Raw genomic sequence first — 23,991 nt, forward strand, 5'->3', positions numbered from 1 at the left:
ATACTTCATATAACATATTCACCATTTTGTATGTACACTTTAGTATATTGACTATGGTGAGCAACTATCATCACTACCTACTTCTAGAACATTCCCATCACCCCAGAAAGAAACCCCATACCTATTAGCAGCTAGTCCCTATTCTCCCCTTCCCCATCCCTTGGTGGATGGGGAAAGTAGATCCCTAAACTACTTTCTGTGTCTATTTGTCTATTCTGGACATTTCATTTCATGGACATTTCATTTAAATGGAATCATACAACATGTGGTCTTTTGTGTCTGGTTTCTTTCACTTAGCATGTTTCCAAGGTTCACTTATGTGGTAACATGTAACAACTGGACTTCTTTTATGACTGAATAATATTTCATTGTATGTATTTGCCACATTTTGTTTATCCATTCATTAGTTGATAGTCACTTAGATTTTTTCCCACCTGTTGGTTATTGTGAATAGTGATGCTATAAACACATTTGTGTACAAGATTTTGTGGGAATATGTTTTCAAACACCTTGGGTATATACAGCTATGGTAAAATTATTAGGTCATAAGATAACTCTGCTTAATTTTCTAAGGAACTGAATAACTGTTTTCCATAGAAATACCTAATATTTGTCCTTCTTAAATTTCATCATTCATCAAATATCATTCCCCTGCTCAGCCAGCCTATTAACTTGTTTTGCTTTTTTAATGGAAAAATTTAATTTGGTACTCTGACTCCTTTTCCCAGAAAGGGGGGCTTGTGGGGAGGGGTCTGGAGTAGAGCAGAAATGATCAATGGCTACAGGACTTGGAGCAAAAGGGAAACAGATATAGGATCCAAGGGAAAGGTTTGTTCAGAAACCAAAGAGACAGACCAGATAAAGCAACAGATACAGTATTTGGCCAGAGAGGCTTAAACCAAGTCTGACAGACAACCTCTGGGGTCAGGAATGAGAAGCAAAGGCAATAAGAGGAGAAGACCAGTTGATGTGTTACAGAGAGATCCCCTGAGACAGTGGTGTGTACAGCCAAGAATCCAGCAGAGGCTGTGCCTTCTTCTCTGGGTCTGGAATGAGATAATGGAATAACCAGCTTGGATGTTACGTCCAAGACCTTTGCTCAAGATGGAATGACATGAAGTTTCCCAAGATTTGTTCAGTACAGTAGTTTTCAAACTTTAGCTTGAGTCAGTCACCTGGAGGACTTATTAAAACACAGATTGCTGGACCCCACTCCCTGAGTTTATGACTCAAACTCAGGACACTGTTGGGGCCTGAGAATTGGTATTTCTAGCAAGTTCCCCAATGATGCTTATGCTGCTGGTCCAGGGACCACACATACTTTGAGAACTTCTGCTTTAGTGAATGACTTTATCCCACTGAAAAACATTTTGAAGGGAGGTGGTCCCCACTATCATTCCTTCAGGACTTGCCCCGCCCAGTGACTTTAGTACTGGAGTTTCCCATGGCTTCTTTACTTGTCTTATATGATCCATATGTTCACCCTACTTAAGTTTCTTTTAGGGAGATAACTGGGATAAAGAAGAAAAAATATGTTCTTAGTATGACTCAGGAAGCTGTGAGTAAAAATTGGAGGAAGATAAGTGAAGTGAAAAGGATCCTGAATTGATGCTCTTACTTCTTATAGTGATCCTTGGGCAATCTGAAGTTTCCTGGAGGTCCTTCTTGGTAACCATAGGTAGTTTTCTTAGCAACTGACCAGCTGGCATGGACTTCATGGTGTTGGAAGGTGAGAGAATAGAACAGGAGCCATCATTCACATGCAATGAGAGGTGCAATGCATTGGGGTTGGCAAAGTCTGTGGTGGAAAGACATGATTACAATTGTAGTATTGTTAGTAAGAGGTAAAACAACATAAGTACTTTTAAAATACTTTGCCAGATGCCTTGCCAAGAAGGCTGAAAGATGGAGTGTGGGGAACTGGCAGTAGCCCAGTGGACTTGGATGTACAGGGCTTTGGAAATTTGTCTCCCTCGAATACAAAGAGACAAACTTGAGACCATTATCAATAAAGACATTTATAAATAAAGACAACACCCTTGGAGATGATAGAACAACAATATGGTTCCTAGGTTGCTTTCCGACCGTGTAGAGCAGAGCCACCCTGTCAGCCTGGACTGCTCATCCTCTGGAATGTTTAGAGAGGAAAATTCTATTTTTTTAAAAGCCACTATACTTTTGAATTTCTTAATTATAGCAGTTTAGTCTGTCCTTTAACAAGTATGGGTATATTATAAATACATACCAAAAATATGTGGGGATAGAAGACATGAAATTATAAAAATAAAGGTAGTGTACAGTTAAGTGCTAAGTCAGAGGAAGGGGAAGTCACTCTGGTCTAGAGATGTCAGAAAAGGCTTCCGTTTCAATTAGGGTTTTCCAGAGAAACAAAATCTATTTTATATGTGTGTACAACACACACACACACACACAGAGAGACTTATTTTAAGAAATAAGAAATTGGCTCATACAATGTGCAATGTGGGGGCTGGCAAGTCTGAAATCCATTGGGTAGGCAGGCAGGCAGGCTGGAAACTCTGGAGGAGTTAATGTTGCAGGTTTGAGATGGAATTTCTTCTTGGGTAAACCTCAGTTTTTGCTCTTAAGGCCTTCAACTGATTTGATGAGGTCTACCGGCCTTACTGAGGGTAATCATTACTTAAAGTCAGCTGATCGTAGATGTTCACCACATCTACAAAATACCTTCACAGCAACATCTACATTAATGTTTGATCTAATAACTCAGTACTATAACCTAACTCAGTTGACATGTAAAACTACCCATCACAACTTCTCATAAAAAGTGGTATCTGAGCTTAACCTTGAAGAATGAATACAATTTCAATAAGCACATGACTTATATCAGGATGATTTTTGCATGCTTCTTATCTGGCCGTGTGTTCCTGGAGCTATAATAACTTTCCTCAAGGATATAAACAGCCTAATTTAAGCCGTGGCTCCATATGGAGAAAAAGATTAATTTAAACCCACAGTCTGGTTTAATCAGTGAGTTAAATGCTGCAATTCTGAAGGGCCATTTGTTCAGATAATGCAATATTGAAAGATGCAAGTGGCCCTGATGGTTCCACACATGGACACTGGCATGATGCATTTGCAGAAGGCTTCTGTGAAGCTCTAGCAAGAACAGAACATTAGCCCAGTATAAGCTCCCTGGCCACCCACACAGACACAGACACAGACACAATGTCCAGTTAACTTTGGAGGCTTGTGTATGGCTTCCAGCAACTTGGTTGGCACAACCTCTGGGTGAAGGTGGGTCACAACACTTATGCAATTCACAAACTTTTGTAAAATTCAAGTACTTGAACTTATTACTGAGAAACAGGAAAGCCCTCAGCTGAAGCAGATCTCAACGCAAGCAAAGGTGTGTTTTTATTTGAGAAGAGAAGGAAAGAATTCACTTGCTTGAAATCAGGACTGTCACTGGGTCTACAAGTAGGCAACTGTGTGGAAGGATCCCACCAGATGGCTTCCTCGCCTGCCACAAAGTCTCTACCATCTGCTGCAATTTATCAGCACTGGAGCTTCATTTTCTTCTGCTAAGGCTTGATCACTTCTAAAATGTTTTAGGCTTTCTGAGGAAAGATTTGATAGAAATGCAGGAACCTGAGGATAAAAGGATTCAGAAATGAAATGCAGTTGGCTCTGAAGATAAAATGTGCCAAATTTACTACAAGTTAAACTGCTCTTAGTACCTGGTTGGAAAACTTAAGTCCAACTCAGTGTGGGCCATTGATCTTTATCCTATTTGTTCTCAGCAAAAATGTAGAGCATATGGATGGATGCAATCCCAGATAAGGGAGTTTAAAGTAAGACTGTGGCCCTTAAGGGGTAACTACTAGAAGTCTGCACTCTTCCCCAACTACCGGTAAAAAACCTAGATAACGAGACAAAAAAGAAACAACCATTCTCAGATATTGGATAATAGGCAGTGCAGTACTATGATGTTCAAGAGAAAGGAATAAATAAGATGAATCCTTCAATTGCTCTGGCTTTCTTCCTGGAAGCAATTTCCTGGCAGTAGCTCAGGAAGAGGGAACCCAAACAGAGCCTGGTGGTCTTGCTGAGTAGAGACAGAGATCATAAATAGTGGACAGAAGGGAGCTTTACAGTGAAAAAGGATCCAGAAATCTATATAGAGGTCCTTTTCAGACTTTGACTATCAATTTGTGCATGTAAAGGAGGAAACTTTATGAGGTGGAACAAAGAGCTGGGAAAGAGTAATTATTGGGACACTGGAAGCCAAATAACTCAAAGCTTGCACAGGATTGGGACTGAATCAGGTTCCCACCAACTAGAGTGAAGAGACTTTGCTGAATACATGGAGAATTCGGTAGACACCCCAGATAGGTCAAACTTACTTTAATAGGGAGACTAAACTAGACCTAGAGTAAGGCTACTCCAGATAAACTCCCTGACAAAAATCCTTAAAAGCAAGTCTGGAAAAGATTAAGCTAATCTGAAAATAACTTTCTGCTAGTGTAAAGATAATCTTTAAAGGAATACAAAAATATCCAGCACTCAGCAATGTAAAATTTAAGTCCAATATCCAATAAAAATTACTAGAGGCCACACACGTTGGCTCATGCCTGTAATCCCAGCACTTTGGGAAGCTGAGGTAGGTGGATCACTTGAAGTCAGGAGTTCGTGACCAGCCGGGCCAACAGGGCGAAACCCCGTCTCTACTAAAAATACAAAAATTAGCCAGGTGTAATGGCGGTGCCTATAATCCCAGTTACTCGGGAGGCTGAGGCACGAGAATCACCTGAAGCCAGGAGACAAAGGTTGCAGTGAGTTGAGATCGTGCCACTGCACTCCAGCCTGTGCAACAGAGCAAGACTCCATCTCAAAAAAAAAAAAAAAATTACTAGACATGCAAAGACACAAGAAAGTGTGGCTCATAACCCAGAGAAAAATCAGTTGATAGAAACAGACCCAGAAATGACAGATGATGAAATTAGTTAGACAAGAACTTTAAAAGACTTATCAGAAATAATATAAATAAGCTCAAGGATTTTAAAGAATATATGAGCACAATAAAGAGATAAATGGAAGACACAGAAACCTTGGGGTAAAAAACAAAATAAATTTTTAGAGATGAAAAATAAAATATCTGAAGTAAAAATTTTACTGGACAGAATTAAATAGCAGGTTAGATATTGCAAAAGAATAAACCATGAAGCTAAAGAGAAGACAATAAAAATAATCTAAAACGAGGCACAGAGAGAAAAAGATTGTAACATTATGGTACAAGCAGTGGCAGAATAGAGGTTCTTGGGGCTAAAATAGTTAAAATTATTTCTGTCCACTTAAAAAATGACCGTAGGTCTAGATGGGCAAGGCATTTGTCACTAATTGGAAGATGAAAATGTGGACAATCAGGCTGAGATGTCCACTGATCAGAGGATGGATTTTTCTCATGTTGCTGAATATTTGGATGCCTTCTTCCTTCCTCACTCTCTTGTCTTCTCCTTTCAGAGGAAAAGCTTGATGTGAAAGGACAAACTTTCCACAATAAGGAACATGTTCTTTAGCCACATATGCACAGTTGTCCCTCAGTGTCTGTGGGAGATTGGTTCCAGGACCCCCCAGGGATAGCAGAATCCATGGATAGTTGAGGCCCTTATATAAAATGGTGTAATACTTACATATAACTTATGCACCGTCCCCTACATACTTTAAATCATCTCTGGATTACCGATAATACCTAGTACAAGGTAAATGCCATGCAAATAATTGTTATACTGTATTGGTCTTAAATTTTGTATATTTTTATTTTTTTTTAATTTTCAAATATTTTGAATCTATGGTTGGTTGAATCTGTGAATGTGGAACCACAGATATGGGGGACTGACTGTACTGGGATTAAGCTTTGCCTTTGCTCTCAGCTCCTCATGCCTGAGCCCACTCATCTCCCACAGAATATTCAGCCCCATTCTAGTAACCAGACCAAGCCAGAGATGAGAGACTAGAGAATCACTCACAGACTTTCACCATCTCAGCTCAGAAATGGCTCATGTCATTTGTACTCATGCTTCATTGGCCAAAACCATGCATGTGGGTCTGCCCAATTGCAAAGGGGCCAGGAAATGTTAAAAAGCAAATGGGAGACACAAAGAAAGTGTGGCTCATAACCCAGAGAAAGTGTGACTCATAACTCACATTTTCACACATTTTGGCTTTTCACCAAATGAGAACTTGGTGAGCATTGCTCTCTCTTCGTATTACCCCCTTCCCTTTCTCCAGCCATCTGGTTTACTTTTCCAGTGGAAAGCCTATTACCAGTGTCTTCTGCCACAGAAATTCTAGTATTACAAACACATATATACATGCTACATATGTGTATATATATACACACGTATATATATATATATTTAAATAACACCTTGCTATACACTCTTCTATAATTTTTTTTGCTTAATCTTATGTCTTAGAGATCTTTCCATCTCAGTACATGATAATTTTCTTATTTTTCATTTTTAAGAGGGGTTAATTTTTATATTTTAATACATTCACATGATTCAAAAGAGAAACTACTTCTGTCCTCTGTCTGTTCACACACCTCACTCTTAGGTGATCACTATTATTAGCTTTTGTGCATCCTTCCAGAGGTTCTTGATGCACATAGAAGCAAAATCTATATATGTCCTTGTTTACTACCTTTTTACACAAAAGGTGTAATACTATATATGCTGTTCTAAACCTTTTTTAAAGTTTAACAATATATCTTGAAGATATTTCCCCATTAATACATGAAGAACTTTCTCATTCTTTCCTTACAGTTGTACAGTATTCCATTGTATGTATGCATCATATCATTTATTTCCCCAGTTCCTTATGAACTGCAATGTGTAACCTTGTATATACATCAAATCACATGGTGCAAATGACTCTGTAGGATGTATTCTCAGAAATAGGATTTCCTACCCTTTAATATAAATTAATCTGATGAAGGACGGGGGATTATTGTGCTGGTTCTGCTGAAAAGAACCTCTTTGCAAGCCCTGTGGGGAATTGGCTGACATCACAGCTCCTATTTCTCTGAACTTAGAATGCAGGTACTTGGTGCCTTTTGTTCTCAACTGTGAGTTCCAGTTGCCAGTTCTGGGAAAACAGGAAGATCCCAAGTAGCACTTTTGACCATTGGGTATCAGTATCTTAAGATCTTGCTGCAACAACCTGTCTACTTCCCCAATTCCAGTGAAGAGTGAGGCCATACCCTGATTGCCTCCCTGCCTCAGACCTAGAGCCCTACAGTGGGTCAGGCTTGGTTGGCCCCAGATGCAGACTGGGTTGGTGGCTTGGAAGTCACAGAAATTCACGATTCTTGAGATTCATGGAGAATGGCTGGCATTAGCATTGGGAAGTGCCAAGGCCAAATACCTGGGCTACAGGCGGGCTGAGAGGGCCATGGAAACTGACTGGAAGCCAGAAATGGGCCAAAGCCAAGGAGACACACAAACATTGGGATATATTTCAAGAGCTAAGAGCAGCTAGTCAGAAATTACTCAGGAGCCATGTATAGAATGGAGACTGAGAAGACAAAGTCAAGATTAAAAGCCGACTTGAGCAACTAAAACAGCATCAAAAACAATGTCCTGAGTACCTACTATGTGCCAAGCACTATTCAAGGTGCTGAAGACAGAGCAATAAATGAAACAAGACTGTGACTGTCCTCATGAACTTACATTCAACGTAGGGACAGACAATAAAATAATAAACAAAGGCTATCAAGGTAGTAAAGTTCAATGAAGGAAAAGTGAAGAAGAGCAAGGGGGCTGAGGAATGAAAGGTGTCTGCCTTTTAAGACAAGAGTAGTCAGGAGAGCCTTTTACAAGAAGATGGCATTTGGTGAAATGAACAAAGTGGGGGAAATAACCATGAGACTATCTAGGGAAGGGAATTCCAAGTAAGTGCCAAAGACCTGAGGTTGAAGCATGCTTCACAAAGTAAAGGAAAAGCTGGAAGGCCTGGATGGCTGGAGTGGAGTTAGTGACAGAGTGCTAAGAGCTGAAGCTGGGGAGGGTGGTAAGGGCCAGGTTGTGTGAGGCTTTCAAGCCATGGTAAGGGCTACTTTATTATAATTATGGCTGTGAATTATTGGGGAGGGTTTTGCGTACAGATGAGACAGGTTCTGGGTGATGTTTTTTTTTTTTTTTTTGCGACGGAGTCTCGCTCTGTCACCCAGGCTGGAGTGCAGCGGCCCGATCTCGACTCACTGCAAGCTCCGCCTCCTGGGTTCATGCCATTCTCCTGCCTCAGCCTCCTGAGTAGCTGGGACTACAGGCACCCGCCACCAAGCCCGGCTAATTTTTTTGTATTTTTTAGTAGAGACGGGGTTTCACCGTGTTAGCCCGGATGGTCTCGATCTTCTGACCTCGTGATCTGCCCGCCTCGGCCTCCCAAAGTGCTGAGATTACATGCGTGAGTCACCGCGGCGCCCGGCCTCTGAGTGATATTTTTAAAAAGTCACTCTGGTTGTTCTGTGGAGAATAGACTGGGGAAGAGGAATATTTAAAGGCAACTGCAATCATCTAGGCAAGAAATGATGACAGACTAGAATGTAGGTGGTGCAGGTGGTGGTAAGCGGGCGGATTTGAGATATACTGGCATTTCCCACTTACTGTCATTAATTTGTTCCTGAAAACATTCAGTGCAAAAACACTGAGTCTATTTCCCATTGTTTGTAAATAGAAAAAAGTTATAAAAGTATTGTGAAGGTAGCTACTCTCAGAACCCACAGGCCCATCCTTACAGTAGAGTCCCTCAGTCTGGTTCCCTGTCCAGCTGGCCTCTGCTTGGCAGGGACCTGTCCACCCCTCACCACCTACAACACCCAGGCATCTCTAGGTTTGTGGAGCACAAACCTTGCTTTATATCTGCTTAATTTAAAAGGTTCCATCAAAGTTGCCTTCCTAACTGGTTTTCCCCCAAGACAAATTCTAGTTTCCTTCTAGAAGATAAAGGACAATCTATAATTTTTTTAATGGCATTTTTTTTAGCTTCAAAAAACTGAAGGTTCACCCTTTATGAACATCCCATTGTTCTCTATGGGTCTGAGTAGTGTTCTACAACTCCATTGCCGTAATCTTGCTTCACATTATACCTTTGATTCTGATTCTTGGTTTTAAGAAAAGTTCCAATGTGTGTTTTATATGGCTTGAATAGAGTTGCTTCATATATACCCTGAAACAGTGCAAGGAGAGTACACAAGGTCCAGATAATCTCTGCCCTGGATAATCTCTGTCTAATGTCAAAATGCATCCCTGGAAAAAGACAGAGTAAAATAGCTTCAGAAAGTCCTTATGGGGATGTGTCAGCTGTTTGTCAGCCAGGTACTTTTCCTCTCCATTTCTGTGATGGGGTAATCAGACCTATGTACCAACTATGCAGAAAGATCAGTAGTTAGTAAAAATAGCTGTATAGGACAAACAGCAGAGAATACCAAAGAAGAAACCACTCAAAAAAGCACTGAGTGTGGTATTTCAATCAAACAGGACCCCAAAATTTATATTTATTCTTATTTATCAGAAAATCAAAACATTATGAAAAATTTAGGAAAACATGTAACTTAGCAATTCCCAAGGTCAGGAGCTACCCTGGCCTTTAATGCTCAAATAACAATAGTTTGCACCCCCAACCTGTGTAATGGCAGGAAGTCCTGTGATTTATTGGGTTGCTGGATCCAAGTGTTTCTGGGAATCCCTGAGAAATGCTGACATGTTCCACAAGTATGAGCCACTTTTTGTTGATCATCTCAGCTGGCCGACAGGCTCTGGTCCACTGCTTTTGTTTCCTCAGTTCTCCTCTCACTAACTTGACCTTGAATCCTAACTTAGAAATTGATCTAGGACTTTCGTCGTCTTGATTTAAAACAAAAACAAAACAAAAAAGTAAACAAATCAACTCCAAAATATCTGAGCTATAGTTGTCATCATATTGCTGGAGATAAAAGGCTATATTCACCTTTGGAAACCAGAACTCTTGTTTTGTAAATAATACTTTAGTGGATCTTTGGCTGTGAAAAAGTAAATCTAACAAGAGATGGGGTAAATATAGCATACAGCATATTATTTAAAAGCTAAATTGTGGCCAGAAATGAGCTAAAAGAGTTAAGTGAGCTCTTCTGTCAAAATAAGACTAGGTCTAACCACGTTTAACTGGAAGTTTCAGGATATCAGAAAGAATTTATAATAATGGTCGAGAGAAAAACATTAAAACTAGATATCGTGAGCTGCACAGTGGTCCCCTAAATGACACATCCTAATCCCTGAAACTTGTGATGTTACCTTATTCGGAAAAGAGGACTTTATAGATGTGATATTAAGTTAAGCATCTTAAAAGGAGAAGCTTATCCTGGATTATCCAGGTGGGCAATTGCGTGTATCCTTATAAAAGAGAGGGATATTATATCAAAAAAGCACAGGAGACAGACACACAAACAAGAGGAGGAGGCAATGTGACCAGGAAGGCAGAGGTTAGAGTATTGCAGCTACAAACCAAAAAAGGCCTATACACACTAGAAGCTGGAAGAAGCAAGCTATGGATTCTCCTCTAGAGCCTTGGGAGGGAGGACACCTTGATTTTGGACTTCTGGCCTCTATATTGTGAGAGAATGCATTTCTGTTGTTTTAAGTCACCTAGTGTGTGGCAATTTGTTAGAGTAGCCCTAGAGGAACTAATACAGTAGATACAACTATATATGAGCCCGTGAGCTTCCACAGAGTATCCTCTAATGGCCACCTCCATCCTTAGCCCCTGGTCTGTGGCAAGGTTGTAGGACCAGCTTGCTCTCTCATGGTCTAGGATCCCAACTTCTCTTTTACTCTGAAGAACACAGAAAACTTTTCGTTTTAATAATCCAATCATTTTAATAATCTTTGCAAAGATACAACTCTGGCCACAATTTGGCTTTTAAATAATATGCTGTATATTATATTTACCCTTATCTCTTTTTAGATTATTTTTTCACAGCCAAAGATCCACTAAAGTATTTTTCACAAAACCAAGAGTTCTGATTCCCAAAGGTAAATGTAGCCTTTTATCTTTGGCAATATAATGATAAGCTGTAACTTAGATATTTTGGAGTTGATTTGTTTACTTTTTTCTTTTTTTAAAAAAATTCATTATTAATTAATTTACCAGGACTACAAGTCCTAGATCAATTTCTAAGTTGGGACTCAAGGTCAAAGTCCCTGGGATGCCCCTACCTCCACACTGGTAAATCTAAGCTCCACCCTTAAAATTCACAAATCAAAGAGAAAGAAAAAATTCCTTTCCCAGTTTCAAGGCAAAGAATTCCAGGGAAGAACTCTGATAAGGCTTGCTTGAATTGCAATTGGTAGTTGCAGCAAAATTACAGAGAGTAGGAGAAGAGTAGTTTTACTAAGAACATGGATGTAAGAAAGGGATGGGCTATAGGCAGATGAAAACAAGTGTCCATTCCAACAGGCTTCCTGCCTCCCAGTCCAATTTATCTCCTCTGCTCTATATTGTTATTCTATTACCTCAAAACTAAAGCTCAATGTCACAAACCTATGCATGTACCCCCCTGTATCTAAAATAAAAGTTGAAATATAAAAAAACTACAGCTCCTTGAATAGTCCCAAAATGAGATATCAAATTCTAAACTATTTTTGATTTCTGTGTTTAAGTAACATGTTTGTATTATCAGATAATGAAAATTTCAGGGACACAGAAGTATGGTTAATTTTGAATAACATTTTAGTAACACAGTATTATTTTCAAAAAGATTTAGTAGTGGAGTTTAGTGAGAACTCTTCATATAAGAATTAAAGTATAAATTATTATTGCAAATATTTTTTCCTTATCACTAAACATGACCATTTAATGACATTATTTGATAAAATTTAACTCCATTTAGTGGAGATCTAAACCTAAATTTAAATTAGGAAATCCTGTTATAATCTCTCATTCCATTCTTGACTTTTGTTTCATAGCACTTACTTAACATCATCTGTAGTTCATTTGTGTGAATGTATGAGTTATCTATTGCTATGCAACAAATCTCCCCAAAATTTACTGGCTTAAAACAACACACAATTATTATCTCACAGTTTTTATGGGTTCTGTGAGTACAGCTTAGCTGGGTCTTTTGCTTTAGGATCTCTCACAAGGCTGCAATGAAAGTGTCATCTGGGAACATCTCATTTAAAGACTCAACTAGGGAGGATTTACTTCTAAGCCTACTCAAATAGTTGTTGGTAGTATTCACTTCCTCTCAGACTACAGAATTGAGGCTTCAATTCCTTATAAGCTGTTGGGTTCTTGCCACATGCTGTTTCCTTAGTGAGTATTCAGTTAATGTCTGTCCTCCATATCCTACTCATTAGACTGTAAACTTTTTGAAGGCTAGGACCACATCTATTTTTCATGACAATGTTCTTATCACCTAGTACAATGCATGGCAAAAAGTGGGACTTAATACATGCTTGTCAAAATAATGATAGAATGAACATACTTGCTGTAATTATTGCTGCTTGAACAAAACAAAAGGATATTTAAGTATCATTCATGACATGTATTGCTTGAATCATCTTAAATACACACACAATTTCTGTTACAATGTTCGGTTGTCAATCTATGGAGATAAATAGCTATACACTGACATTGTGTTTTGAAGTTATCTACGAAACAAACAAAATAGTAGCTGACATAATAGATGCTAAATACAATACAGGGTAATTGAATATTGCAGACAGTGGGTGCTGTGGGGAGAGCCATCACCAAGGCTATCTTAATGATTCCTGTTCCTTGATTGATGAACAGGACCTTGATGAATGGAAGTCAGTAAGGGGAGCTTCCAGGTGGCAAAAATCACTGGGACAAAGATGTGAAGGCGAAGGTATATATGTTGTGCATAGGGATCCATAATAGAACAGCTGGCAAGAGAGAAATTGCCTTTAGGGAGAACTTAGAGACAAGGTAAGAGGGGAAGCATAAAATCTTAAAATGATGAAATTGGAATGGATCATGGTGGTCACATAATCTAATCTTTTCATGTTAAATACAGGGAAAATGAGGCACAAAGAGGTCAAATGACTTGCCCTATGTGCCACAACAAGCCAGTACAGAGTACAAATTATTAGAGTATAAACAGCACGTACTTTGGTGGTAAATAGCTGGATTTGAAACATAGCTCTGCCACCTATCAGATTGACCTTAGGCAAACAGCTACCTCTCTGAACTTTGGTTTCCTCATCTGTAAATGGTGATAATAGTTTATACCACTTGCAGGGTTTTTTGAGGATTAAATTAGATAGTGCTACGTTTACCACATGGTCTGTTTGTGTATATATGTATATGTATGTATGCATACACACACATAAATTCATATTTATGACAGAAAACACGAGATTTCTGGATCAGAGAACATACCATTCATTATTCACACAGTATCTTAGCACTGGTTCCCCAAGCCCTACAGAGCAACATGGGAAGAGCCTACCATGTTAAGCCCATGATAAGAGCCAGGGTTGCAGCACAGGAGAGGAATACCAAAGTCATGAGACTTGGAGCTTTATATGGGCTGCTGATTATCTGCCCATCATCTCTTCCAGAGAGAGAGAGAGAGAGAGAGAGAGAGCTTATCTTTGCTCTGGAATTTAAGCAAATGTCTCCTGGAGAGAGGGGTAGGTGGCTCCAGGAAAGATAAGCCTCTAAATCTCTCCAGAACAGTACTATATCTCTAATTTCCTAGGTGTGTTTGCCATTCAATCATTCTTTAACCGAGTTTGCCAGTGTTCTTTGTTCAGAAAGCCCAAACAGTGCAGAAATGTGAAAATATTCATGGAGAATTGCATCCCAACAGTAGGTAGTCAGTAAAGGTTATCTTCTTTCATGAGTCTGAAAACAGTGCTCTTTACTTTTAAACCTTCTCCCACAGATGCCCATGCCACTGTTGTTGAGAGACAAAAAGCTCACCAGCCATGAGGTACCTCAAGGTGAACAGCCCTAGCCATGTTATGTCATACCTGCTTCCATTTGGTCATTTCCTGCCTTACAACACAACAATCTGTTGGCTGCTTTTTTGGGCTTCTTTCATAAATATAATTTCTGTAGATTAGAGATTCTGGAGAGTATCTTGTGTTTGGACAGCTAACCATTTTAACTACTAATTGGTAGCTTCCCTGTACCCTGCCCCTTGCCCTCTGCTACTGTTGGCAGCTACAATGCAGGACGACTATTATTTTGGGAAATTTTATTATAAGGGAACTGGAGAACAAAGAGGCCAACTTCTTCAATATCTCTGGTTCACACTTGAAGCACATACTTGGAACTTTATAAAACCAGTTGCATAATGTACTCCTTCTCTATCTTAGGACTAGATACAGATAACTGGAAGGAAACATCAGAGAGGAAAGCAATCATGAATGCTGGCGTGGGTTGGCTCCCAGCCTGACTCAGTCTGAGTAGAGAGAGAGGAAGCAGAGATGGAAACTCCTGTAAAGTGGCAATTGCAGATTATAGATGAGATATGATCATTTGAACTCTGGCTATAGAAATGGAGAAAGGACATGGAGGATTTAAGATTTTGTAGGTGTGATTTATAAAAGTTGGTGACTGAATACAGTTTGAGAAAGAGGGCAGAGTTCATGGTGAATTCAGTTTCTAAGCTGAGTGTTGTGTGACTAAAACATTTGGATGGAGGTTATAGATTAATTGGATGTTGTAATGTTGCACTTTCATATTTAGATAAAAATACTCGATCATGCTATCATGGAAGAACTAGAATGGGAATTTTTAAATTTGATAATTGATGTTCACATCATGCATTTGTGGATTTTTTTTCATGTTTTTAATAGAAACAGACATCACAGTTTGAGAAGTCAAGAGGGCATTTTCCCTCATATATCAACAACCACCGCACCTTTAACCCAAGCAGTACTGAAGGGCATTTGAGCATCTAGCAATTTCATTAAATTGAGAAAATACAGTTTAGGGAAGTTTGAGATAATTAAATCATTACATTTGGTTAGGCACATGTTTGTCTCAATATCATTTTTAGAACATGCAGATAGAGAGGCTCAGATGGAATTCCAAGTGGGAAGTAGAAGCTGACAATCTCAGTTTAGGCATCATCAGTACGTGAGTGGTCATTAAAACCAAAGTTGTGACCATCAAAGTTCTTGGTTTCAAACAATAGAAACCAATCCTGGTTAGTTTAAGTAGGAAAATAATTTACTAGTGAAAATGGGTGGCTGGAAGAATGTCCAGGAAGATAGAGAACCAAGATTAGAGACTATATGACAAGAAACAATTCTCAAATCACATTGCAGGACTGGGCTCTGTCTCTGCAGCTGGTACCATCAACACTGCCAATATGTGGGATTGGGCACTACCATCAGCTCTGCTGCAACTGCCCCTGGATACTGGAGGTGCTGCTTCCATCCTTGGCAAAAGAGCTCCATGAGGGACTCCTTCTTTCTGCACCGGCTCCCAATTCAGTCTATGGTGGGTACAACTGAAATGCTTGCATCATAGCTGCAAGTGAGGCTGGAAACATGACTAGCAGTCTATCGTCTATTACAGGAGGCAGAAGCTGTTAATGTAGGGAAGGGGGTGAAATGGGCAGTGTAGCCAAAAGATATAACAAATGTCCACTACCAGAATAGAAGCTAAGATTATGAGAGAGAAAATGTGAAAATAAGAAGAGAAGATAATAATTATAGCAAGTTAGTTGAGCACCTATATGTTCAGCACTTTATATACATATATAATAATTTACTTCTTAGAATAACCCTTTCAAGTAGGAATTATTGGTTTGCATGTAGGGAAACTGAATCAACAGAGTGATCAAACACATTGCCCCAGGTCACCCAACAAGGAGATCTGACTCTAGGACTTATGCTCTTACCACTACACTACACTGCCTCTGCATGGAGAGGATGAAGATGGCATTCTAGCAAACATACATTTAGGGAGCAGATAGAGAAAGTGAGATGGACTGAGAAGAAATAAATGATTGTAGAGCTGGACAGAATCCCTTAGGAGAGTGCTCTCTCTATCAGAAGCCTAGGATAAGAGAGTTTAAAGGAATTATGGTTCTATTAGTTCAGTAGGGCTGCTGTAACAAACTATCACAAACTGGGTGGCTCAAACAACAGAAATGCGTTGTCTCATGGTTCTCAAGGTTAGAAGTCCAAGATCAAGGTGTTAGTAGTGTTGGTTTCTTCTGAAAACTGTGAGGGAAGAATCTGTTCTAGGCTTCTTTCCTAGCATCTGGTGGTTTGCTGGCAATCTGATGTTCCTTGGCCTGTAAATGCATCGTCCCAATCTCTGCCTTCACATGGCATCCTCCTTGTATCTCTTCACACAATCTTCACTCTGTGTATGTCTGTCTCAAAATTTCCCCTTTTTATAAGGACACCAGTCATATTGATATGGGGGTCCACCCTATTCCAGTATGACCTAATCATAACTAATTACATCTATTATACAATGATCCTGCTTCCAAATAAGATCACATACTGAGATACTAGGAGTCAGGACTTCAACATGTGAATTTTGGAGGACCCAATTCAACCCATAGCAGTGGTCAACTGCACAAATGTGACAGAAAGGTAAAGAAGGATATTGGCTGCAAATAAACTATTGAATTTGACAACTAGGAGGTGGCTGGAGATTTGGCAAGAACAATTTCAGTAGCATGGTGCTGGTACACATATATTATAGAAGTTGACATGGAGGAAGGGCTTAGGGGAGGACATGAGGGAATAAGCATAGACAATTCTCTATAGAAGTTTGATGTGTCAAGAAAGGTAGACTTTCCCTACACAGGAAGGCAGATCCCTGCATAGCCTTTACCAAGATACTTGATACTATAAACAGAAATTTTATGGTTTGGTGGTGTCACTTCCTACGTGTGAATCCAAATCTTTAGGAATTGTGGTTTAAGTCAACAACTGATTTTGGGCAGACATCTGCACAACATGTGGTGGTATTGCCATAGTGATTGTTACTCTGAGGAATTCAGGGTAGGATATTTACACTGAAACTTCTGTGTTTCAAAATGAAGACATAATTTTAGATACTAAGGACCTTTACATATATCCCTCCTGAATGTTAATGTTATTTAAATGAGTAATAGAACACTTCAGACATTTTTTCATTCCTTGAAAATGAAATGCTTTTCATTTCCTGAAAATGAAATATGTCCTCTGCCTGGAGATACTCTTCTGAAATGCAAGAGCTCAAATAGAGCAAATTCAAATAGTTTTTGAGCTCTACTGCTAGCAGGAAGGAGTTAGGATTTAGAAGGCTGATTTCACTGCCTGCTGTGTGTTTTCATTTCACTTTGCTAGGGTCAGTTGCTGTATTTCAGAAACAGAGAAGCTCTGAAAGCAGAGATGTGTGACTGAGAACATGGAATTGGTTCTCCGTGTATGTTTAAAACTCCAGTTTGAAAGAAATGCTTTATTCCTTTTCAAACTTCCCTACTGTTTTGGTGAATTCATTTCACGCATAATCCTGCAGAACTGAATTTTGTGCCGCTGCCTTCAGGCTGCAAACAGTTTAGTCCTGTGTGCTAATGACTGATTCTCCCAGGGTGTGACCACCTGGCTGCCAGGATCTTTTGAAGTTCCTGCTATGGCCAAGCTTTCTCAGTGCTGGGCATTTTTCACTTCCTTCTCTTTCTACCCCACCATTTTCATCTGCTTAACATGGGGAGTGGAAATGCTGAACGTGTCGGAACCTTACCACAAATCCTACCCCATGTCAATATGTCCACACCACACTCTCAATTCCACAGACATTCATTGCTGGAGAATCAAGGAAATCAGCATTGGAACCTTGTCAAATTTCCCACCAATATAGCCCAACAGACCCATAAAAAAGAGCAGCTTAAGTAATCACAATGCAGATGCTTTTCGTTAAATATTTTTGGGGAAGTTTATTTCATTTGATGAGATACTTTGCTAAATGGAACCATCTCCTGGAAACACCCATAAACACTTTTTAAAGTGGTGGTCCTCTATCTTGATTGTAGTGACGATTTCAGGGGTGCATACATACATTAAAACTTAAATTATATGCATTAAATAAGAGCAGTTTATGTCAAGTATATGCCAAGAAAACTGTTATGAAAATGTGTGGGCCCCTGAACAAACTTGTCTGTTACTTTTGTGTGTGGTCTCTCACTGACATGGTTGTATTTCAGAATTTGGCAAGTGATGTTCACACACCCATTTATTCGCCATGGGGTGAGGCTGGCATAGGTTTGTCCTCTAGGGCAGAACAGCGCTGGCAGAGATCCTGGGGATAGGTATGAACTTCAAACCACATGCAAAGTCATTGCAAAAACCTGAACAAGCAATCCAGTGACTTCTGGATGGAACTCTGAAATGATGTTTTGCTAGCATTTTAACAGTAATAGTTAATTGCTTGTGGATTTGGTTGTTTTGTTGTTGCCAGTTTTTGTTTGTTCAGTTTTTTTGGCCACTTTTCAAGGTGGAGTTATATTACGCACATTCAAAAGCAGTTCAGAACATTTCTGGAGTTTCTCTCCCTGTTATCATGTTTTCTTCTTCTCTTTCCTTCTTCTTCTAGAGCTACATTAAACTCTAGAAAGCCTCTGTGGGTCTCTTTTGCAGGGTAGGTTGGAGAATGCAGAGGAACAGGGAATATATAGGGATAGGGTCCCATGATATCCCAGGAGGAAGAGCTGCTGGCTTTAGCTAATACTTGCTGCACCCTCTGGATTCTGGCTAGGGAAACCCAAGTAGTCTTCATGTTATCCAGGTTTCCTTCCTTTAATATTCAAATAAAGTAACTCAAACCCCATGCTCCAGTCCCTTCTCATATGTTTCTTAGGGCTGCCAGGGAATGTTCACACACTCTGGATGCCTTCCTACTCCCCACTTTTCTCTATCTGATTAGTGCTTCTCCAGGATGCTGGGCCCTTTCTCCAGTTCTCTTTGTTCTAAAACTGGAATTCCCTAAGGCAATGAGTGCTAATTCAAGTCTAATACTAAATTGTGATGATTAACAAAAGCCTTTTAAAGGGTTTTGGTGAGTGGAATGGCAACAGATAGGTGGCCACTATACGGCAGAACAGGACACAAAGTGAGATGTCAGATGTCTCTGTTCCTAGAGCCCACTGGCTACCCTCCTTTGCAGGAGTCCCTGGCTGTCCCTGGCCATCTCTCCCTGGCTGGGGTCATCTCTAACTCTCTCCTGCATCCCCTCTCCCACCACTCCCCAAGCCTCAAAACTGCAGGTTCAGTGTTCCCAGAAAAATGGAGAAGACAACAAAAAAGATTCTCTCCATAAACCAATTGTTTTACAATAACCAGCAGGAAAGTTTTAGCTCATATTGTTCTATACCTGTTTTTTCTGGATTAGGTTTTAGCATAACTAAAGAACCATTCAGAGTATTCCTAACCCAACCCCAAAAGAACCGTCTACCCCAAAAGAAAATCCAGATCTGTACTTTTAGTAAAACAGGGTACTGACCAAAAGTGTGAAATTATACTTTTTATTTATAACGTAAATATATATTCATGGGCAGGACACAAGACCAAGGTCTGTGCTTCCCTCCCCTGCTGGCAGTCCCACAAATGGGGTGAGAATAGGATGGTAGAAGATTTATCACCCACACTACTCCCTGCCCCCGCTTTCCAGGGTAAACTGAAGACTTCGATTCTTTCCTCTTCTGTTTCTACACAACTTTCTCCCTCTCTCCCCTCCTCCTTTCTGTACACTCCTGGTTCTCTTCTAGGTTTATATCTTTTCTTATTTTGTGACAGACTCTAATAGGCAGGAATTAGATCTAAATCTGATTTTGGCATATCACCCATATATTAGTGCTTGGTGTAATTTTAGGGACACTAAATTGCTTTCTAGAATAACCCTTCTTTCCCAGGAGAGAAAGCACAGGATTTGGGAACTACTGCCAGCATGCTTTTGGCTAGACCCTGGTCAACAGCACCGAGTTACACAAAACACTAACACTTACTTAGCATTGCTAGGTAAACTTCTGTCGAATGCTTAGGTCAGTAACACATCTGTTCTTTTCTGGTATGAAGTAGATAGTGATGTCCCAAGATCCATACTCAGGCAAAACATTAGGGAGAAAGATTCGTCATTAGCTTCTCTGAACTCTACCCATTTTCTTTAGAAATCCAGAAGGTAAAACTATGAAATCTGGCAGGATATAAATAGCAGCTAAAGTCTGCAGAGTACAAAGTAGTAAAATGTCTAAGCACAACATGGATATGTGCTTAAATGCAATCTAAGCAACCCGATTCTTCTACAATGTCTAATTTTTTATTTTATTTTATTTTATTTTTTTTTGAGACTAAGTCTCACTCTATCACCCAGGCTGGAGTGCAGTGGTGCAATTTTGGCTCACTGCAACCTCCACCTCCTGGGTTCAAGCGATTCTTGTGCCTCAGCCTCCCGAGTAGATGGGATTACAGGTACGTGCCACCATGCCCAGCTAATTTTCATATTTTTAGTAGAGATGGGGTTTTGCCATGATGGCCAGGCTGGTCTTGAACTCCTGACCTCAGGTGATCCACCCGTCTCAGCCTCCCAAAGTGCTGGGATTACAAGTGTGAGCCACCGTGCCCAGCCTAATTTTTAATTTAAAGAGTATATTCTCTTGTTAGATACATTTAAAAAGCTCTTCTCTTGTTACATGCATTTGCTCAAAACCCCAGTGTTGTGCTTATGCATTCTTGCTTGGTCAGGGCTCCTGCACTGTACAACTCCAGGAAGCACCATCCACGTCATGGTCTGTGAATAGCAACCCCAGGATTTGTCCAGTGCACAGCTTGCAGGACAGTACATGGAGCTCCTGGTTTGAATCCTGGTCTGCTACTTACCAGCTGTGTGAACTCAGGGAAGTTTTTTATTTTCTATAAGGCTCATATTCTTCAACTATAGAAAGGTAGATAATGGTATCTACCCCTTAGGATTGCTGTGAGGATTAAATGAGGTAGTTAAGAAAATGATAATAATTGTTAGGTATTATTGATAAAAATAACAAATAAGCTTACCATTTCTCTGATATCTCAGCCACAGAGAGCACAATCTGTAACGTTGATAAAATGGAACATTTGCATAGGGGAGGAGAGCTTTTCAAAGGCTCTAACATGATGTAATTTTATGAATCTTGACTTCCAGAGAGCTCTTTCAAGGTGCCAGGCTTTTATATCACCAGGTCTTCCCTCAGTTCTGCTGCAGTCGTGGCGTTGCTACACAGCCAGTGCTGTCTGGTATACTTTGGCTCTGGCTACAGAGCCCCTTTTCCTCTGTTCTCCCATCCCAGTGACTGCCCACCATGGAGAATCTATATGAATCTTGAACAGAGTTAGAACCTAAGGAAAGTGTGATCCTGGGATCTAGTAGCTACAAGTACCAGGACCAAGTACATTGGGAAAGGTGGCTTCTAGATTTTTTAATTTCTTGCCCTTGAATGCCAGGTCTGGGACCATGAGGGAAAATTACAGACAGAGCAAAATAGCAATGCAGCAGGAAGATTATAGGAATGTGAGTGCCCAAGGGTGAGTGTGTATAGAGGTAAAGTGTATATGGTATAAAAAACAGGGAGGAAGAGAGAAAATGAGATGGAGGAAAGCGGTGATGAGAACCAACAGTTACTGGAGACTATGTTCCCATCTGCCCTTTGCCAACTTGCCTCAAGGTCTGGGACCTGGTCAGAAATGGCATCTGAGGTTACTAATCACACTCACCTTCAGACCAAGTTAACATCGTAAATAACAAGGGTAGCAATCTCTTATTACCTTGGGGTAGTGGGAGCACATCTAAGGCACAAGTATGAAATGAAAGAGAGGAAAAAAAAGTAGGAAAAAATTAGGGAAAAGGGAAGGCTAAATAAAAAGTTCAGCTTTTGGAGAACCAGTAACAGGCATAGTTGCCACTGCTACACATAAAGTATTCCTCAGAGAAGGGAATGAAAGAGGGGAATCCCACTGCACAGTTCGAACCTTTAATTCTGTCCCTACTCAGGCTCAGCTTTGAGATTTTTAGAGAGGCTAGAGTAATTCCTAGACTGCCCAGGAGGGTAGCTGGGATCCTCTTTCTTCTGCTGGCATGATTCTCTCCTATCTCTGACTGCCATGAGGTGTGCCTACTAGACCTCCAACTACATAGAGTGTAATTGATTAAGGGTCCAGCTCCTGACTCTGAAATCCATCATCACGTTTGTTCCCAGGCCATGCTTCCCACAGGCTGCTCCTAGCCAATGACAAAGTGCAGCAGGGATACTAACAGTCCCATTTCTCAGAGGCACGGGAGTCTTCTGACGGCTACTTTGGCTTAGGGACTCCCAAACAGCCTAACTGAAGTTTTCTTAAACTCCAGCAGTGTAGGATGCTTCTACCCAACCTACCTTCTCTATCTCCTTCACCCAGCGTCAGACTTGCTTTATTAGCCGATGCTCACCCAGCCTTGTCTGGCTCCCTCTTCATTTTCTTTCACAAGTGGTCCCCCTAATATAACCTTTGCCTTTTTTTTTGACACGGAGTCTCACTCTGTCACCCAGGCTGGAGTGCAGTGGTGCGATCTCGGCTCACTGCAACCTCCACCTCCCAAGTTCAAGTGATTCTCGTGCTTCAGCCTCCCTAGTAGCTGGGATTACAGGTGCACGCCACCACACCCCGCCAATCTTTGCATATTTAATCCCAAATTGGTACCTGCTTTTCAGACTAATATAATATCCAAGAACTAGCAGAAACATAAAATCCCAGCTCTCAATACTCGTTATATACAATGCAAGGCCTAAATCAGTGCTTACTCAATTATACTAACAGACCCTTACCATGCTCTGAGTGTGATGTAAACACTTCGGTGACCTGGCTAGTCACTCCCATGCTCAAATAAACCCAGTTTTCTGGCTTTGTCAGTGGGCACTCTCTCAGTCCGTCTCTGTGGGGAGGTGGGATATCCATTTTTCCAAGTAAAAGGCTTGATTTTACTCCTCAAATTCCACTAGAAAGAAGTCAACTGTGGCATTAACATGTATGATCTCTACATTATAGGGGGTCTAACCTAAGCAAGACATAGAGTACCTGCCCTCTAGGACTTTTTGGAGGCCTCGACATTGAACTGCCCCATCAAAGAGAGGAAGCCTATTTGGAATGACACACGGGGAGTCTTGTTTGTCCAGCCAATCCTGCAGATTCTAAAATTTGTCATTAGATCTGTCAGAAAGCTGAATACTTGTACAGCTCATCTTGGATCAAAAAGAAAGAACTGAGTTTACTCTAAGGCTATATCCTCAGTTTTGTTTTGTTCTTCTGAGAAGCATTACTTTAATGAGCTTATAATTACTATATAAATCAGAGGATGTGAACACAATAAACATACTTGGGGAAATTGTCATAGAAATATTTGCATAGAAAACATGCAAACTATAGTGTTTTCTCCTGTTTAAAGAAAATTTCCAACAATATAAATGTCTAAACAAGAAGACATTTTATTTTCTTGAGAGACCAAGATTTTCTACTTTTTAAAATTGTGGTAAAATATGCATAACCTAAAATTTACCATTTTAACTACTTTATTTTTTATTTTATTTCATTTTTATTTTATTTTTTTGAGATAGGGTCTCACTCTGTTGTCCAGGCTGGAGGGCAGTAGCATTATCCTGGCTCACTGAAGCCTTTATTTTATTTTATTTTATTTTATTTTATTTTATTTTATTTTATTTTATTTTTTGAGATAGGGTCTCACTCTGTTGTCCAGGCTGGAGGGCAGTAGCATGATCCTGGCTCACTGAAGCCTTCTGGATTCAAGCCATCCTCCTACCTCAGCCTCCTGAGTAGCTGGAACCATAGGCATGTGCCGCCATGCCAGGCTAATTTAAAACTTTTTTTGTAGGTACAGGGTGGGGATGTCTCCCTGTGTTGCCCAGGTTGGTCTCTGACTCCTGGGCTCAAGTGATCCTTCTGCCTCAGCCTCCCAAAGTGCTGGGATTACAGG

General features: G+C 40.2%; 1 protein-coding gene across 5 annotated transcripts in view, besides 2 other annotated features; it reads right to left on the bottom strand.

Moving 5' to 3' along the window:
- The window catches only part of WDPCP (WD repeat containing planar cell polarity effector), a 721,268-nt gene that overhangs the window by 529,482 nt on the left and 167,795 nt on the right, over window positions 1-23,991 (bottom strand). For 4 of the 5 annotated variants that reach the window (XM_047444629.1, XM_047444631.1, XM_047444627.1 and 1 more), the window contains one exon: window positions 1,619-1,798. The exons of the other annotated variant lie outside the window; for it this stretch is intronic. The gene's annotated coding sequence lies outside the window, so the exon portion shown is untranslated. The remainder of the gene's footprint in view (window positions 1-1,618; window positions 1,799-23,991) is intronic. 5 annotated transcript variants of the gene reach the window in all.
- Window positions 7,081-7,281: a silencer, noted in NCBI's record as "peak3729 fragment used in MPRA reporter construct". NCBI's record gives its function as "represses an SCP1 promoter by STARR-seq MPRAs in K562 erythroleukemia cells {active_cell/tissue: K562}" and the evidence as "EXISTENCE:reporter gene assay evidence [ECO:0000049][PMID:32103011]".
- Window positions 19,197-19,698: an enhancer, noted in NCBI's record as "NANOG hESC enhancer chr2:63895371-63895872 (GRCh37/hg19 assembly coordinates)". NCBI's record gives its function as "activates a minimal SCP1, AML or CMV promoter by ChIP-STARR-seq in primed H9 embryonic stem cells {active_cell/tissue: H9 hESC(primed)}" and the evidence as "EXISTENCE:reporter gene assay evidence [ECO:0000049][PMID:30033119]".

The sequence above is a fragment of the Homo sapiens genome, chromosome 2 (genome assembly GCF_000001405.40).
Source record: "Homo sapiens chromosome 2, GRCh38.p14 Primary Assembly".
Taxonomy (NCBI): domain Eukaryota; kingdom Metazoa; phylum Chordata; class Mammalia; order Primates; family Hominidae; genus Homo; species Homo sapiens.